At 39.9% G+C, this 19,195-nt stretch overlaps 1 protein-coding gene across 5 annotated transcripts in view; it reads right to left on the minus strand.

Moving 5' to 3' along the window:
- The window catches only part of MCF2L2 (MCF.2 cell line derived transforming sequence-like 2), a 250,579-nt gene that overhangs the window by 164,497 nt on the left and 66,887 nt on the right, over window positions 1–19,195 (minus strand). The gene's annotated exons all lie outside the window — the stretch shown is intronic.

The following is a 19,195-nucleotide window of genomic DNA, read 5'->3' on the forward strand; positions in this document are numbered from 1 at the left end:
CCCCTGTAGTTTCTCAGACTCTTCGTTTGTAAATCTGAAATAATAAAATAGTATCTACCTATGAGGTTGATGTGAAGATTAAATGTGTGTGTGTGTGTGTGTGTGTGTGTGTGTGTGTGTGTGTGTGTGTGTGTATGCATATATGTACAAACATGTAAAATGCTCAGGACAACGCCTGGCACTTGGTAATACTGTATAAGCACTATTATTCTTTCTTTCTTTTCTCCACTTCTATTAAGTCTTATGTGCTTGTCACAGAGATTAAAAGAGATATAGTACATGATAAGTAGTTGGCCTATAGTAAACCTTCAATTTTGGGTAAAAGGTGGGCTTTACCCTACAAAAGTGTGTATATGTGAATGAGGCAGAAGGTCTAAGCAAAACCTGCAGGAAAACATAAGAAGCTAATCTCAGTTAAGCATCATTGGGTTAATCGATTCTCACAGCCCCATACTGACCCAGGTTATCTTGCTGAAAATTCATTTTAAAAATGAAAGTGAAATAAGGACATTTCCAGACAATAGAGGTGAGAGAATGTATTGTCATTAGATATATACTTGAAGAAATATAGGTTCAGCTGATGTTTAGGAAGACTTTCACTCCTACCAAAAACAAACAAAACACTGGTGAAGTTAAAAGCTCATATTTTTCCTTAAATATGAGAGAACTCTGAAGACAAAGAAATATAAATGAACAAATTCCAGAGAGACTTAAGACCTTCCATAGAGAGCAAATACTAGAGCAGACTTTTACATAAAGTGGTGCTTGCCTATTCTGAGAATAGGCAGGCAAATGAATGAATCTGAAGGGAAATAATCCAACATGATAACTTGATTTTTTTTTTTTTTTTTGAGACGGAGTCTCACTTTGTCACCCAGGCTGGAGTGTAGTGGCATTCTCTTGGCTCACTGCAACCTCTGCCTCCAGGGTTCAAGTGATTCTCCTACCTCAGCCTCCTGAGTAGCTGGGATTACAGGTGCCCACCACCACACCCGGCTAATTTTTGTATTTTTAGCAGAGACAGGTTTCACCATGTTGGTTAGGCTGGTCTCAATCTCCTGACCTCAGGCGATCCACCCACCTCAATCCCCAAAGTGCAGGGATTACAGGCGTGAGCCACCATGCCCAGCCCAACATAGCAACTTGAATCTGCAAGAAGAAATAGAGAGTTATGTAAATGTTATGTAAACGTTAAATATGTGAATAAGTATTATCAACTGTGTTTTTTATTTCTCTGAGGACTACTAACTAATCAAAGTAAAAATAACACAGTATTATTATAAAATAAATATGTCACAACAATAGCATGAAGAACGGAATGCAGTAAGTAAAATTACTTTTACTTACTATTAGCCAGGTGCAGTGGCTCACACCTGTAATCCCAGCACCTTAGGAGGCCAAGGCAGGAGGATCGCTTGGGCTCAGGAGTTCAAGGCCGGCCTGAGCAACAACAAGATACTATCTCTACTAAAATTTAAAAAAATTAGCCAGGCCTGGTGGTGTGTGCCCGTAGTCTCAGCTCCTCAGTAGGCTGTTCTGGGAGGATTGCTTGAGCACAAGAGATAGACTGGGCTCAAAACCAAAACAAAAACAAAACCACCACCCCCCCCAAAAAAAGTACTATTGAAACTAGTATTGGGTGAAATTAAACTATACTATTTATATTGTATATAAAGTGGTATGAAATTAATCCCAGGTAGATTGTGCTAATTCAAAAACACATACTGTGACATCAGGAAATAACTGCTAAAAACTCAATAAAGGAGATAAACAGAATACTGAAAATATTTGAATAATTCAAAAGAAGGCAGGAAAGGAGAAATAAAGGAACAAGTCACAGATTGGCAGATTAAAACCCAACCATCTTAATAATCACATTAATTGGAAATGGCCTATAACGCTCCATTTAAAAGGCAAATAGCCACGGCAAAAACATACCAAAATGTAAAGACCATCAACACTATGAAGAAACTGCATCAACTAATGTGCAAAATAATCAGTTAGCATCAGAATGACAGGATCAAGTTCACACATAACAATATTAACCTTAAGTGTAAATGGGCTAAATGCCCCAATTAAAAGACACAGACTGGCAAATTGGATAAAGAGCCAAGACCCATTGGTGTGCTGTATTCAGGAGACCCATCTCATGTGCAAAGACACACACAGGCTCAAAATAAAGGGATAGAGGAATATTTACCACACAAATGGAAAGAAAAAAAAGACAGGGGTTGCAATCCTAGTCTCTGATAAAACAGACTTTAAACAACACAGATCAAAAAAGACAAAGAAGGGAATTACATAATGGTAAAGGGATCAATGCAACAAGAAAAGCTAAGTATCCTAAATATATATGCACCCAATACAGGTGCACCCAGATTCATAAAGCAAGTTCTTAGACACCTACAAAGAGACTTAGACTCCCACGCAATAATACTGGGAGACTTTAACACCCCACAGTCAATATTAGATGGATTCAGAAAATTAACAAGGATATTCAGGACTTGAACTCAGCTCTGGACCAAGCAGACCTAACAGACATCTACAGAACTCTCCACCCCAAATCAACAGAATATACATTCTTCTCAGCACCACATAGCACTTATTCTAAAACTGACCACATAATTGGAAGTAAAACATTCCTCAGCAAATGTAAAAGAATGGGAATCATAACAAACAGTCTCTCACACCACAGTGCAATCAAATTAGAACTCAGGATTAAGAAACTCACTCAAAACTGCACAACTACATGGAATCTGAACAAACTGCTCCTGAATGACTAGTGGGTAAATAACGAAATTAAGGCAGAAAGAAATAAGTTCTTTGAAACCACTGAGAACAAAGACACAATGTACCAGAATCTCTGGGACACAGCTAAAGCAGGATTTAGAGGGAAATTTGTAGCACTAAATGCCCACATGAGAAAGCAGGAAAGATCTAAAATCAACACCCTAACATCACAATTAAAAGAACTAAAGAAGCAAGAGCAAACACATTCAAAAGTTAGCAGAAGACAAGAAATAACTAAGATCAGAGCAGAACTGAAGGAGATAGAGACCTGAAGAACCCTTCAAAAAATCAATGAATCCAGGAGCTGGTTTTGTGAAAAGATTAACAAAATAGATAGATTGCTAGCCAGACTAATGAAGAAGAAAAGAGAGAAGAAACAAATAGACACAATAAAAAGTGATAAAGGGGGTATCACCACTGATCCCACAGAAAAACAAACTACCATCAGAGAATACTATAAACACCTCTATGCAAATAAACTAGAAAATCTAGAAGAAACGGATAAATTCCTGCACACAAACACCCTCCCAAGACTAAACCAGGAAGAAGTCAAATCCCTGAATAGACCAATAACAAGCTCTGAAATTGAGGCAGTAGTTAATAGCCTACCAACCAAAAAAAGCCCAGGACCAGATGGATACACAGCCAAATTCTACCAGAGGTACAAAGAGGAGCTAGTACCATTTCTTCTGAAACTATTCCAAACAATAGAAAAAGAGGGACTCCTCCCTAGCTCATTTTATGAGGCCAGCATCATCCTGATACCAAAATCTGACAGAGACACAACAAAAAAAGAAAATTTCAGGCCAATATCCCTAATGAACATCAATGCGAAAATCCTCAATACAACACTGGCAAACTGAATCCAGCATCACATCAAAAAGCTTATCCACCACGATCAAGTCGGCTTCATCCCTGGGATGCACTCAACATATGCAAATCAATAAATGTAATCCATCACATAAACAGAACCAAAGACAAAAACCACATGATTATCTCAATAGATGCAGAAAAGCCCTTCGATAAAATTCAACACCTTTATGCTAAAAACACTCCATAAAGTAGGTATTGATGGAACATATCTCAAAATAATAAGAGCTATTTATGACAAACCCACAGCCAATATCATACTGAATGGGCAAAGCTGGAAGCATTCCCTTTGAAAACTGGCACAAGACAAGGATGCCCTCTCTCACCACTCCTATTCAACATAGTATTGGAAGTTCTGGCCAGGGCAATGAGGCAAGAGAATGAAATAAAGGGTATTCAAATCGGAAGAGAGGACATCAAATTGTCTCTGTTTGCAGATGACATGATTGTATATTTAGAAAACTCCATAGTCTCAGCCCAAAAACTCCTTAAGCTGATAAGCAACTTCAGCAAAGTCTCAGGATACAAAATCAATGTGCAAAAATCATAAGCATTTCTATTCACCAACAATAGACAGAGAGCCAAATCATGAGTGAATTCCCATTCACAACTGCTACAAAGAGAATAAAGTACCTAGAAATACAACTTACAAGGGATGTGAAGGACTTCTTCAAGGAGAACTACAAATCACTGCTCAAGGAAATAAGAGAGGACCCAAACAAATGGAAAAACATTCCATGCTCATGGATAGGAAGAATCAATATCATGAAAATGGCCATACTGCCCAAAGTAATTTATAGATTTACTGCTATTCCCATCAAGCTGCCATTGACTTTCTTCACAGAATTAGAAAAAACTACTTTAAATTTCCTATGGAACCAAAAAAAGAGCCCGTATAGCTAAGACAATCCTAGCCAAAACAAAGCTGAAGGCATCATGCTACCTGACTTCAAACTATATTACAAGGCTACAGTAACCAAAACAGCATGGTACTAGTACCAAAACAAATATATAGACCAATGGAACAGAACAGAGGCCTCAGAAATAACGCCACACATCTACAACCATCTGATCTTTGATGAACCTGACAAAAACAAAGCAATGGGGAAAGGATTCCCTATTTAATAAATGGTGTTGGGAAAACTAGCTAGCCATATGCAGAAAACTGAAACTGGACCCCTTCCTTACAACTTATACAAAAATTAACTCAAGATGGATTAAAGGCTTAAACATAAGACCTAAAACCATAAAAACCCTAGAAGAAAACTTAGGCAATACCATTCAGGACATAGGCGTGGCAAAGACTTCATGACTAAAATACCAAAAGCAATTGCCACAAAAGCCAAAATTGACAAATGGAATCTAACTAAACTAAACAGCTTTGGCACAGCAAAGAAACTATCATCAGAGTGAACATGCAACCCACAGAATGGTAGAACATTTTTGCAATCTATCCATCTGACAAAGGGCTAATATCCAGAATCTACAAGGAACTTAAACAAATTTACCAGAAAAAAACAACCTCATCAAAAAGTGGGTGAAGGATATGAACAGACACTTCTCAAAAGAAGACATTTATGTGGCCAACAAACATATGAAAAAAAGCTCATCATTGCTGGTCATTAGATAAATGCAAATCAAAACCACAATGAGATACCATCTCACACAAGTTAGAATTGTGATCATTAAGAAATCAGGAAACAACAGATGCTAGAGAGGATGTGGAGAAATAGGAACGCTTTTACACTGTTGGTAGGAGTGTAAATTTGTTCAACCATTGTGGAAGACAGTGTGGCAACTCCTCAAGAATCTAGATCCAGAAATACCATTTGACCCAGCAATCCCATTACCGGGTATATACCCAAAGGATTATAAATCATTCTACTATAAAGACACATGCACAAGTATGTTTATTGCAGCACTGTTTACAATAGTAAAGACCTAGAACCAACCCAAATGCCCATCAATGATAGACTGGATAAAAAAAATGTGGTTCATATACACCATAGAATACTATGCAGCCATAAAAAAAGAACGAGTTCATGTTCTTTGCAGGGACATGGATGAAGCTGGAAACCATCATTCTTAGCAAACTAACACAGGAACAGAAAACCAAACACCACATGTTCTCACTCATAAATGGGAAGTGAACAATGAGAACACATGGACACAGGGAGGGGAACATCACACACCAGGACCTGTCAGTGGGTCGGGGGTCGGGTAGGGGGGGCGAGGGGAGGGAGAGAATTAGGACAAATACCTAGTGTAGATGATGGGTTGATGGGTGCAGCAAACCACCATGGCACATGTATACCTATGGAACAAACCCGCTCATTCTGCACATGTATCCCAAAACTTAAAGTATAATAATAAATAAATAAATTTTTAAAAAGGCAAGTAGAGACGGAGTAAATACACTGCTTACAAAAGATACACTTTTGTGTATGAGGAGAGAGTTAGATTGAAAGAAAAGGGTAGTAAAACATACACCATGCTATCACTAGTCATAAGAAAGCCAATGTGGCTATGTGAATATTTTTCAAAGTAGTATTTATGACAAGGAGTATCGGCAGAGATAAGTTATTCATAAATATAAAAGGGCCTTTTTATCAGGAAGACATAAGAATCCTAAATGTCTAAGCGTACAATAACATTGCCCCAAAGACACAAAGCAAAAATGGGTAGAACTAAAAGAAAAACAGATAAATCCACAAAGTTTGAGATTCTAGTATTCCTCTCTCAGTAATTCATAGAACAAGCAGCCAAAAATTAGTAAGAACATAGACCCGACTTGGAAGAACACAACATCTAGCAATGCAGACGATATTCTTTTCAAATGCTCATGGAATATTTAACAAGATAGACCATTGTCTGGGTCATAAAGCAAGTATCAACAAATTTTACATGATGCTAATCATAGAGGGTGCACTTCTGATCACCATGGAATTAAACTGGAACTCTACTATTCCTCTCTTTTCTATTTCATTTATCTTTGGTTCTTTTTATTTTCCTTTACAATTTCCTTCCTTTTGTTTTCTTTGGGTTTCTTATTCTCTTTTCAAACTTCTTAAGGTATAAGATTAGAGCACTGACTTTAAGCCTTTCTTCTTCTCCAATATAAGTATTTCAAGTTACAATTTCTTCCTAAGCACTACTTTTATCTATATCACATGAATGTTGACATACTGTTTTTGTTATTGCTCGGTAAAAATGTTTTCTCACTTCCTTTGTGATTTTTTTCTTTGATTCATAGGTTATATAGAGGTGGTTGCTTAGCTTCCGAATGTTACTGGGCACTGATCATAGGGGACACAGAATGAGCAAAACAGTTCTGCTGCACTAGCAAAAACGTGTGAACGTCAAACACAACAACAATCATTCTAGATAGTCATAGCTGCTATTTATTGAGTTCCTATCATTTGTCAGACTTATTTGTTTTCTGTCTCACTTAACCTAACGAAACAGATGTTATCTCCTTTTAACAGCAGAAGAAACCAAGGCTGATAGAACAGAATAACTTGCCTGATATCACACTAGCAAGCCTGGCTTTCAGACTCAGCTGTCTGATACTGATGCTCTTCACCCTATTCCACTGCTCCCCTTCCACTGTTTTTTTCACAGCAAACCTGCTTGTACCTTGTGGCAGCTTGATTTTGTATATTTTGCTGCTCCTTTTTTTTTTCTTTTCTACTTGAACCACGTAATCATTGAAGGAAGTTCTAAGGGAGCCACCAGGACTCTTAAACAAGGTGAAGCTGGGAGAGGCTTAGCAAATATTAGATCGTTTATAAACACAGGCTATTCTTTCACCTATGAAATAAGCAGCTGCTGGCATATATGGTCTCCCCGGCCAAACTGAGGGCAAATGTTCCTCAGAACAAGACTCCTCTTCGCTCCACACAGACTAAGACCCAACCAGAGCATCTGGGTAAATGGAGTGTGGGATCTGCTGGAAAAATACCTGTGAACAGAAAGAGCTGTGTCTCCTGACATAATTGTATATAGGCCACAGTTCAGAAAGAGACAAGGAATCACGACAATGACTTTAAATCATCCTCCCATAAGGTATACATGCTAGACAACACTCAGTAATGACTGCTGGGGTGGGATTTTTTTTTTTCACCCTCTCTTATTCAACAAAGGTATGAAAACGTCAACTAAACCAAATGCACAGGAAATGGGGTTTCTGGCCAATGTATTTCTTAAGGTAACACTTGGTTTTTACCCCTCTTGTTCTTTTTAACACCAAAGCCCTATGATGTGTCAGACACCTGCACAAATACTCTTTGATATGATTGTCATACTCGCTCTATGAGGTTGGTGATAACATTTTCATTTAATAGACAAGGAAACTAATCCTCAAGAATGCTTCGAAAAATAACTTGCAAAAGTCACACCCTATATGCAGAGTTAAGAGTCATTAGAGGCCGGGCGCGGGGGCTCACGCCTGTAATCCCAGCACTTTGGGAGGCCGAGGCAGGTGGATCACGAGGTCAGGAGATCGAGACCATCCTGTCTAACACGGTGAAACCCTGTCTCTACTAAAACTACAAAAAATTAGCTGGGCGTGGTGGCGGGCGCCTGGAGTCCCAGCTACTCCAGAGGCTGAGGCTGGAGAATGGTGTGAACCCGGGAGGCGGAGCTTACAGTGAGCCCAGATAGCGCCACGGCACTCCAGCCTGGGCGACAGAGCGAGACTCCGTCTCAAAAAAAAAAAAAAGAGTCATTAGAAGTCTTCAGACTCCAAGACCAATGCTCATGCCACAAAATTCATTATGTCTTGTTATAGAAAATATTGTAACACTATACTCCTTCATTTTCCAATCTTAGTAACTCCTCTGTCACAAATGTAATTGAACTTTTGATGAGTCACACCTGATATTCTGAAAATCACTAAATATAAATATGTAAGTATAAGAGATTGAGGTAAATATGTTCTGATCCCAAAATAGCAAAGAAGCATTGTGGTGTGTGTGATATTTATTTTCTTAAGTATATATATATATATATATATATATATATATATATATATATATATATTTATTTATTTATTTATCAGAACCCCAGGGCTCAAGCAATCCTCCCATCTCAATCCTCCCATCTCACCCTCCCAAGTAGCTGGGACTACAGGTCATATCACTGTGCCAGGCTAGCTCTGATGTTAATATACTTTCCTATGATTTGCCTTTTTTGGTAAGCAAGGTATAGAAAATATTTTGGTCAATTGAAATTTTATTGCATTGCCATCAGAACTGAGTCAAATGTAGGGTGACAAACCATCCTGTTTGTCTAGCACTGAGAAGTTCCTGGGACACATTATTTTCAGTGCTAAAAACAACAGTCTCAGGAAAATCAGGACAATTGGTAACTCTGATTCAAATACCTAATTCCAAGCACTAATATGATTGTCATAGATATACTGCACATGGGGCTTCTTACTGGAAGAAATCAAACTACTATTCAGGACTGTCTATGTTTGCTGATGGTTACACTGTGAACTTAAGCAAATTTAGGAATTCCCTCTTGAATGGCAGTGCCCAGAGTTGTTCCTGGTATAGGAGATAAGATGATTAGCCTATGTCTTTTTAAATTTATTAGTCTAATTCAGAAATAAAGTATCCATAATGCTTTCTAGTCTTGTGGCATTCTTTTGGCACCTTCATCTGCAAAATGGTGGGGGCTAACAGAAGCTCATCTCAAGCCCTCCTTCCAATTTTAACATTCTATGATTTACTGATTCTGTATAGTGACTTCAAGTCGCTAGGGACCATGGATATGCTTCTACAAATTCAGTTGAATTGGGTTGATCATTTTTATAGGGTTTGGAAGATATGATAAGATACAACCAAATTAAGAATGGAAGACATATGGGATGATTTTGTCGATCTCTCAAGTACTTCAGCATCTTCATCATACTTTCTCTCTCATCTGACCTCATCTTATCTTTTGCTATTTTCTTCAATGCCTCATCCTGAGTGGAAAGTCACTCTCCATGTTCTATGTAGGAGAACTAGCATCTTCACTTAGAATGGACTAAAGGTGAAGCCGGGCGTGGTGGCTCACACCTGTAATCCCAGCACTTTGGGAGGCTGAGGCGGGCAGATCATCTGAGGTCAGGATTTCGAGACCAGCCTGGCCAACATGGCAAAACCCCATCTCTACTAAAAATGAAAAAATTAGCCGGGCATGGTGGTGCGTGCCTGTAATCCCAGCTCCTCAGGCAGCTGAAGCAGGAGAATTGCTTGAACCCCAGAGGCAGAGGTTGCAGTGAGCTGGGATTGTGCCACTGCACTCCGGCCTGGGCGATAGAGAGAGACTTTGTCTCAAAAAAAAAGAACGGACTAAAGGCTGAGACTCTAATGTTTTCTGTGGTATAATGGCAAGTCCCTGCCCAAGCCAATGGAGAGAAGCAGACGTGCTTCCACTGCACAGGAAAGCCAGCAAAGAACAGCGCTTTGAGGGACATCAGTAGCTCTTGAGTAAAAAAAGAGAGAATCTGCAGAGCAACCAATGGCAGGGTATACCCCTCCTCACTTCCCTTCTGGATCCTGATTTCAACTAACTTATTAGAAAAAAGGATACTTGGAGATATATGAAAAATGACTGAACTATTTGGTTATATTAAAGTATATTTTGTGATGTGATGATTGTATTATCATTATGTTTTAAAAAGAACCTCTGTCTTGTAGAAATGCATGCTGAAATATTTGTAGGCAAAATCTACTCTTTAGATAATAACTTAACCATTTCAACCAATTACCAATCAGAAAATGTTCGATATGTTATCCGCTTCGAGGTAACGATGAGAAGGAACATGGGTGGAGACACACATGAAACAGATTGTCCATGAGTTGGTAATTGTTGAAGCTGGGTGATAGAAACATAGGTGTTTATTATACTAGTCTGTTGGCTTTCGCAAATGTTTAAATTTTTCTGTAGTTTCCATTTAAAAAATTTAAAAATTAAAAAAAACCCAAAGCCTCTTAAGTGATTCATGAATAAACAATGTAGAGTTATAGAAAACTGAAGCTTTAGGAATCAGCTACACTCATTCATAGAAAAGACCATATTTAGAGGATACTTCCGCTTTACAGAAGGAAGAAACATGGTCAATGCCTTAGTTCCGTGCTTTAATAATGAAGGAATCCCCTTCCACATCCCTGCAAGATGCCCACCCAGTTCCACCAGACACATCCAGTAATGGGATGTATTAGCCCGTTCCCGCACTGCTATAAAAATATATCTGAAGCTGGGTAATTTATTTTTTAAAAAGAGTTTTAATTGGTTCACGGTTCTGCAGGCTATATGGGAAGCATGGCTGGGGAGGCTTCAGGAAACTTACAATCACAGTGGAAGGCAAAGCGGGGCAGGCACGTCTTATCGTGCCTGGAGCAGGAGGAAGAGAGTGAGGGAGGAGGTGCCACACAATTTTAAACAACCAGATCTTGTGAGGACTCTATCACAAGAACAGCACCAAAGGGGAAATCTGCCCCCATGATCCATTCATCTCCCACCAGGCCCCACCTCCAACACGGGATTACAACTTGACCTGAGATTCGGGCAGGGACACAAATCCAAACCATATCCAGGGCCTCCACTGCCTCCAAGCCAACGTAATTCTCTGCTAGGGTGTCCAGAAAATAAGGCAGCCCTTTCCCCATATTCAGTCAAATATTCCTTTCTATAGAGCTTCCACATTTCAGATTCCATCCTCTCACCACACTTTTTTTTTAATAGGAAGAGGAGTAGGTGTAAACCAAAAATAAAATTCTAAGCTCCCCAACCAACTGAATGGACCCTTCTTCTTGGCCAAGTGGATTTCAAAGAAACCTAAAAAACTAGTTCAGGCCATAACAGAAAGCGGGGTCAGACTTGCCTCATTATACCCTCTTCCCTTTGGAATTCAGGCTCAAATGTCCAGCATTAACATTAAAAGAGATCTTAAGACTAACACAACAGATTCTTTATAGCAATAAGATGCCAAGTTCCAACCTGACTCTAGTACAGCGTCACATGACAGCAGGCCCTGAAAGAAATAGAATTATTTTTTCTGCAAAATATATTTCTTTGCCATATTTTGAAATGATCCCGCAAAGCTGTCTCTTGTGGGGAAAATCTACATTCTGCAGAGAATCCCCTTCCCTTTCCAGGTCTTTTCCTGATCCAGGAGAGAGATTTAACTGAGAGTCTGGCACCTTTTACGGTCTGATAAGGGACATTTACCATCTATTCTCTCTAAAGCCTGCTACATACCAAGAACCTTGGCTTCCACAACCTGCACCCTCCCACCCCACCCCACTTATCTTAACCCCCAGCATTTCTTTCTGCTGACTTCTACTCTTTAGATAATAACTTAACCATTTCAACCAATTACCAATCAGAAAATGTTTGAATCCACCTATGATCTGTAAGTCTCTCACCCAGTGGTTCAAGTTTTCAAGTTGTCTCACCTTTCTGGACCAAACCAATGTACATCTTACATGTATTGATTGTTGTTTGCCTGTAACTCCTGTCTCCCTAAAATGTATAAAATCAAGCTATTACCCAATGACCTTGGGCACATGTTCTTAGGACCTCCTGAGGCTGTGTCATGGCGTCGTGGTCCTTACATTTGGCTCAGAATAAAGTTCTTCAAATATTTTACAGAGTTTGGCCCTTTTGAGTCAACATAGGTATGTTACTGATCAATAACGTAGTCCCTATAAGCATGCAAAGGGAATAAATCCATCATGAATGCATGAATAAATACAGAAATAAATGTAAGAATTAAAGCATGTTTCCAGGTCTTTGTACTGTGTGAAGTGATATAAAATAATTGTTTAAAGCACTGGCATAAAATGCTTCTATTTATTTTAATAATATTATTTATTATTCATTATATTATTTATTATTTATTTTATTTTATTTTCATAAGTCTAATGGATCCCATCCCCTCCACACACTCCACCACAACTTTCTTTACATGATATTGATTTCTAGAATTTACATGAAATGTTTGAAAATGAAAAAAACTAGGGGATTGTGAGGAGGAAGCAAGAGACAGGTAATGTCACTAGAAAAGGATCAGATCTTGTTGCTTGTGGATATGAATGAATTCCTCTTTCTAAGGATACTGACCTTAGAAAATGGAGGGGAAAATGCTTGAAGGCCTCTTAGAGGCAACTCCAACACAGTCTTACTCTTTCAGTAGAGGGGGGCAGAAAGCAGGAATAGCAAAATAATTACTTAGCTACCATAATCAACAATTCCTTTCCTTTTTTTTTTTTTTGAGACGGAGTCTCGCTCTGTCGCATAGGTGGAGTGCCGTGGCGCGATCTCGGCTCACTGCAAGCTCCGCCTCCCGGGTTCACACCATTCTCCTGCCTCAGCCTCCCGAGTAGCTGGGACTACAGGCGCCCGCCACCACGCCCAGCTAATTTTTTTTTTTTTTTTTTTTTTTTTGGTATTTTTAGTAGAGACAGGGTTTCACCGTGTTAGCCAGGATGGTCTTGATCTCCTGACCTCGTGATCCGCCTGCCTCGGCCTCCCAAAGTGCTGGGATTACAGGCGTGAGCCACCGCACCCGGCCATCAACAATGCTTTTCAAGTCCACACCAGTCACCTGAGGGTCCTGTTAAACATAGCAATTTCAAGTCATGAAGCTAGGGGTGATGCCCCAGATTCTGCATTTCTGACAGGCTTCCAGGTGATGTTCATTCTGGGGCCTCACTTGGAGTGACTAGGGCAGTGGGCCCCTCCTTCCCCCCTCCCCTCCCCTTGTGAATAAAGAGCAGCTGGCTGTAGCATTTGCCCCATCTGCAGCCTTGCAAACCTCTTCCTTCACAAAGTAGATTTGCCAGGACAGTGCCTAGGCTATAGGAGTTGAAGCTAAGGAGGAGGAAGAGCAGTGCCTGAAGAAACTTCAGACCATATGCAAGAAAGACTCAAAAGAAGAATACAAAGAGCAGGTCTTTCTAGAAATAAAATTGACTTAAAAAAAAAAAAAAAACTCTGCCTCTAGAGCAAAGTACTCTTTATTATAAAAAAAAAAAGTATTGCCGGGCATTGTAGCTCACACCTGTAATCCCAGCACTTTGGGAGGCCAAGGCAGGCTGATCACGAGGTCAAGAGATTGAGACCATCCTGGCCAACACGGTGAAACCCTGTCTCTACTAAAAATATAAAAATTAGTTGGGCGTGGTGGCATGCACCTGTAGTCCCAGCTACTCAGGAGGTTGAAGCAGGAGAATTGTTTGAACCCGGGAGGCAGAGGTTGCAGTGAGTCGAGATTGCGCCACTGCACTCCAGCCTGGCAACAGAGCAAGACTCCGTCTCAAAATAAATAAATAAATAAAATAAAAGTATTGCCTACTCCCTAATCAAGCATCCCTAAAGGAAAATCTATTTATAGGACCCACTCACTGTTGCAGAGTCTACTGACCTCAATTTCCTCCCATTCAAGTGCAAGTACCTTGGTTAAACAGAGCTACCCAATTGCAAAGGAAATCCAAGTCAGATAATTATATTTACAACATAACCCTTCAAAAATATAAAAAGGCAACCAAAGATCTTCTGAATTGAATAAAAGCAAAGCATCAAAGAGAAAGACTGAGGTGAACAAACAGAACAGCCAATCTAGAAACAATGAAAACAACTACAAAAAAGTTTATATTTTTTCTAGTCAGTAATCTCAGACTGTTGAAAGAATACTCCATCCATAAAACAAGAATACACTCTTATGAAAAGGGAGCAATGGGAGAATAAGAAATAGTTCTCAGAAATTAAACATATGATGCTAGAACCTAAAAATGTATAGAAGAGTTTTTGAAAAATGCACATGGCTGATAACAAATCAGTGATCTGAGATAACTGATTAGTCATCTAGTAATGAAAGCATTAGTGATCTGAAATCAGTGATTTGAAGTTTATCAAAAATAAAACAGAGGGACTTCTGGGTAGCTGAGCAAAATCTGAATTGTCACATATCCTCTCAGAACCATGCAGATAAACCAAAAGAACAAATAGGGCCACACAAATCCCATGCCTTGAGAATAACTAGAAGATTAAGAACACTACAAACTTCAAGCTACTTATAAACATTTTTAAAAAAACAAGCAAGATACTAATTTTCAACAGAACTACTTCTTGAGCTCCTGCTACTAGCTTTTGCAGCGATCTAAGGAGTGCTAAGAGAAGAGGCCATTGAGATAAAACTACTCACAGGAAAAACAAAACAAAACAAAAAGAGTCCACTTTAAGTGCAAAGATACAGGTCAATCATCCTTAATCCAAAGATCCAAAATCCAAAATCCTCCCAAATCTGAAACTTTTTCAGCACTGACGTGACACCAAAAGTGGAAAAACCCAACACCTGACTTCATGTAACAACTTGCAGTTAAAACGCAAGCATACGACACACCATTTATTCCATGTCCTCAAGGGGAAAAAGACTGTCCGGCCCTGTTCAGCTGCAGTGTATCTTTTCCATGCACACCCTGACTCCCCTATGCAAGCACGCCCATGAAGGGTAATAAAATGGCATGTGTACAGGCCAGATGCATCAAAGGCAGGTTCCCCAATGCTCTGCATGGGACCAAGACCTACAAGTAATACTCACTGTGGTTTTCCACTTATTCTCTTCTCCATGATGTAAAGATATTTTTCAAAATGTCCAGAAAAAAAAAAAAAGGCCGGCAGACACCCCTATGAGTAACAGTGATAAGAAAAAGAGGAAGCTTATGTTTATCTATAGCACAGAAATTCAAGCTGTTGGAGAAACTGGACAGCAGCATAAGTGAGAAACATCTTACAGAAGAGTATGGTATTAGTGGCCGGGTGCCGTGGCTTACACCTGTAATCCCAGCACTTTGGGAGGCCGAGAAGGGCAGATGACCTGAGGTCAGGAGTTCAAGATCAGCCTGGCCAAGATGGTGAAACCCCTTCTCTACTAAAAAAATACAAAAAATTATCTGGGCATGATGGCGGGCACCTGTAATCCCAGCTACTTGGGAGGCTGAGGCAGGAGAATCACTTGAACCTGGGAGGGGCAGAGGTTGCAGTGAACCAAGATCCCACCATTGCACGCCAGCCTGGGCAATGAGAGCGAAACTCTGTCACAAGAAAAATAAATAAATAAGAAAAAAAAGAAAAGAAAAAGAAGAGTGTGGTGTTAGAATGCATACCATATATGACCTAAAGATACAGAAAGATAAACTGTTGATGCTCCATGCTAAAAGTGATGAACAGAAATGAACAAAAAATACAAAAACACTACATAAAGTTAAAAATGAATCTCTTGATCATGTATCGAAAGAGTAGATCCATCAGCACTGCAGTGAACTTGTGCAACTTAATGGTGTGCCGCTCATGAAACAAGGAAAAATCTATCACAATGAACTGAAAATTGAAGGGAAGTGTGAATATTCAACAGGTTGGTTACGGAAAATTTTTTGTTGTTGTTCAGAAACAGGATCTCATTCTATCTCTCAGGCTGGAGTATAGTGGCTTGATCACAGCTCACTGCAACCTCGAACTCCAGGGCTCAAGCAGTTCTCCCACCTCAGCCTCTCGAGTAGCTGGGACTACAGGCATGTTCCACCACCTCCAGTTAATATTTTTTTTTTATCTTTGTAGAGACAGGGTCTTGCCGTGTTGCCCAGGCAGGTCTTGAACCCCTCAAGTAATCCTTCTGCCTTGGCCTCCCGAAGTGCTGGGATTACAGGGTATGATTACTACCATGCCTGGCCCAGAAATATAAGAAAAGATAACATTAAATGTTAAAAGATAAAGCATCTGCTGATCATGAAGCAGTGGAAAAGTTCATTGGGTTTTTTTTTTTTTTCTGTTTTTCTTAAATTCTAAATCTTTACTGAAGCAGTGCAGAAATTCATTGACAAGTTTGCCAAGGTCACTGCTGATGAAAATTTGATGCCAGAATAAGCCTGGGATGCTGATGAAATATCACTGTTTTGCACTATTCCCCCAGAAAGACATTGACTGCACTGATGAGACAGCCCTTACAGGAATTAAGGATGTCAAAGACAGAATAACTGTGCTGGGATGTGCTAACACAATAGGCACTCAGAAGGCAAAAGCTCGTGTGCTCACTGCTTTCACAGAGTGAATTTCTTACCAGTCCATTACTATACTAACAAAAGGTCATGGATCACCAGGGACATCCTTTCTGATTCGTTTCACAAAGATTTTATACCAGTGGCTCATGCACTCTGCAGGGAAACTGGACTGAATGATGACTGAAAGATTTTCTTATTCTTTAACAACTGTTCTGCTCACACTCCAGCTGAAATTCTCATCAAAAATAACATTTACTGTCTATGGCCATATCACCTTGAACACACCTGAACTCATCTGATTTCAGAAAAATAATGTTTATGTCATGTATTTTCCCCCAAATGTGACTACATTAATTCAGCCATGAACAAGGTACCCTTAGGTCGATGAAAATAAATATATAAACACTTTCTTGAACAGCATGCTAGCAGCAGTAAACTCAGTAAACTAAGGCACGGGTGTGGAGGTTTTCAAACAGAGTTTAGCATGAAGGGTGCCATATAGGCTGTTGTCAACGCTTGGAACACAGTGACTAAAGACACAGTTTTGCACCAAGACCTGACACAACCTCTGGCCTGTTCAGTGATGATGATGAATAAGGTGGGGACTTTGAAGAATTCCACATGTCAAGTGAGGAAACAATGATGTCTAACCTTCTTACATGTGCAAAAGATGTATCTTCAGAGTCCATCACGAAGCTGGAAAACGTGGGTATTGAAATTTTTAACATTGATTATGAGGCTCCAATTGTTCATTCATTAACCAATGATGAAATAGCCAAAATGGTTCTGAATCAAGCCGATTGTGATAATAGTGATGGTAAAGACGATGCTGTTAACACTGCAGAAAAACGTGCCTAGAAGACACGGTGAAAATGTGTAATGGGCTTATTGAAGGACTACAGCAGCTGCATTCACAACAGAACAAGAAATTATGCCAGTTTACAAAATCAAAGAGAGCTTCTAAGATAAAACCCACTGTTAATGAGGCAGATGACTCTGGAGGAAACATTTTAAAAAGCCATCCAGGCCAGATTGGGGTAGAAGGGGGTGGCTCATCCCTGTAATCCCAGAACTCTGGGACTCTGAGGCAGGAGGGTCACTTGAGCCCAGGAGTTCATGATCAGCCTGGGCAACAGAACGAGATACTGTCCCCACACAAAAAATTAAAAATTAGCTGAGCATGGTGGCATGCCTGTAGTCCTAGCTACTTGGGAGGCTGAAGTAGGAGGATTGCTTGAGTCCGGGAGTTCAAGGCTGCAGTTAGCTATGATCATGCATGCAACTGCACTCCAGCCTGGGTGACAGAATGAGAACCTGTCTCAAAAAAAAAAGCCATTTGAGAGAATGTCTCCTCATCCTTAGAGGATCCACTTCTTCCTGTGCCTTCAACTACTTCTGATGTTTCTTCTCACCTAGAAAAATAACATACAGTGTACTAGGCCAGGCGTGGTGGGTCACTCCTGTAATCCCAGCACTTTGGGAGGCTGAGGTGGGTGGATCACCTGAGGTCAGGAGTTCTAGACCAGCCTGGCCAACATGGTGAGACCTCATCTCTACTAAAAATAGAAAATTAGCCGAGTGTGGTGGCGCATGCTTATAATCCCAGCTACTCATGAGGCTGAGGCAGGAGAATCGTTTGAATCCGGGAGGCAGAGGTTGCAGTGAGCTGAGATAGCACCTCCAGCCTGGGCAAGAAGAGTGAAACTCAGAAAAGAAAAGAAAAGAAAAGAAAAGAAAAGAAAAGAAAAGAAAAGAAAAGAAAAGAAAAGAAAAGAGAAAAGAAAAGGAAGAAAGGAAAGGAAAGGAAAGACCAGATAAGACAGAAGAGAAGACAAGACAAGACAAGACAAGACAAGAAAAGAAAAAAGAAAAAGAAAAGAAAAAGGAAAAGAGACAGGAAGAGAGCGAAGGGAAGGAAGGAAGGAAAGAAGGAAGGAAGGAAACACATAATGTACAATAACCTTTTAATCAAAACATGGCATCATAGGTGGAAACTGAAAGCCTGCTGTTGTTTGTCCTTGTTGCTGTTGTTTAACAGCAGATACAAGAATGCTGGTAATGCTACTGTACTGCTTAGTTACTGATATGGTTTGGCTCTGTGTTCCCACCTAAATCTCATGTGGAATTGTAATCCCCAATGTTGAGAGAGGGACCTGGTAGGAGGTGATTAGATCATGGGGGCAGATTTCCCCCTTGCTGTTCTCATGACAGTTAGTGAGTTCTCATGAGATCTGATGGTTTAAAAGTGTGTGGCACCTCCCCTATCACTCTCTCTCTCCTGCCGCCATGGTAAGGCATGCTTGCTTCCCCTTCGCCTTCCACTGTGATTGTAAGTTTCCTGAGGCCTCCCAGCCATGCTTCCTGTACAACCTGTGGAAATGTGAGTCAATTAAACCTCCTTTCTTCATAAATTAACCAGTCTCAGGTAGTGCTTTATAGCAGTGTGAGAACGGACAAGTACAGTTACTCTGAACACATTATTT

This window comes from Homo sapiens, chromosome 3 (genome assembly GCF_000001405.40).
Source record: "Homo sapiens chromosome 3, GRCh38.p14 Primary Assembly".
In the NCBI taxonomy this organism is placed as follows: domain Eukaryota; kingdom Metazoa; phylum Chordata; class Mammalia; order Primates; family Hominidae; genus Homo; species Homo sapiens.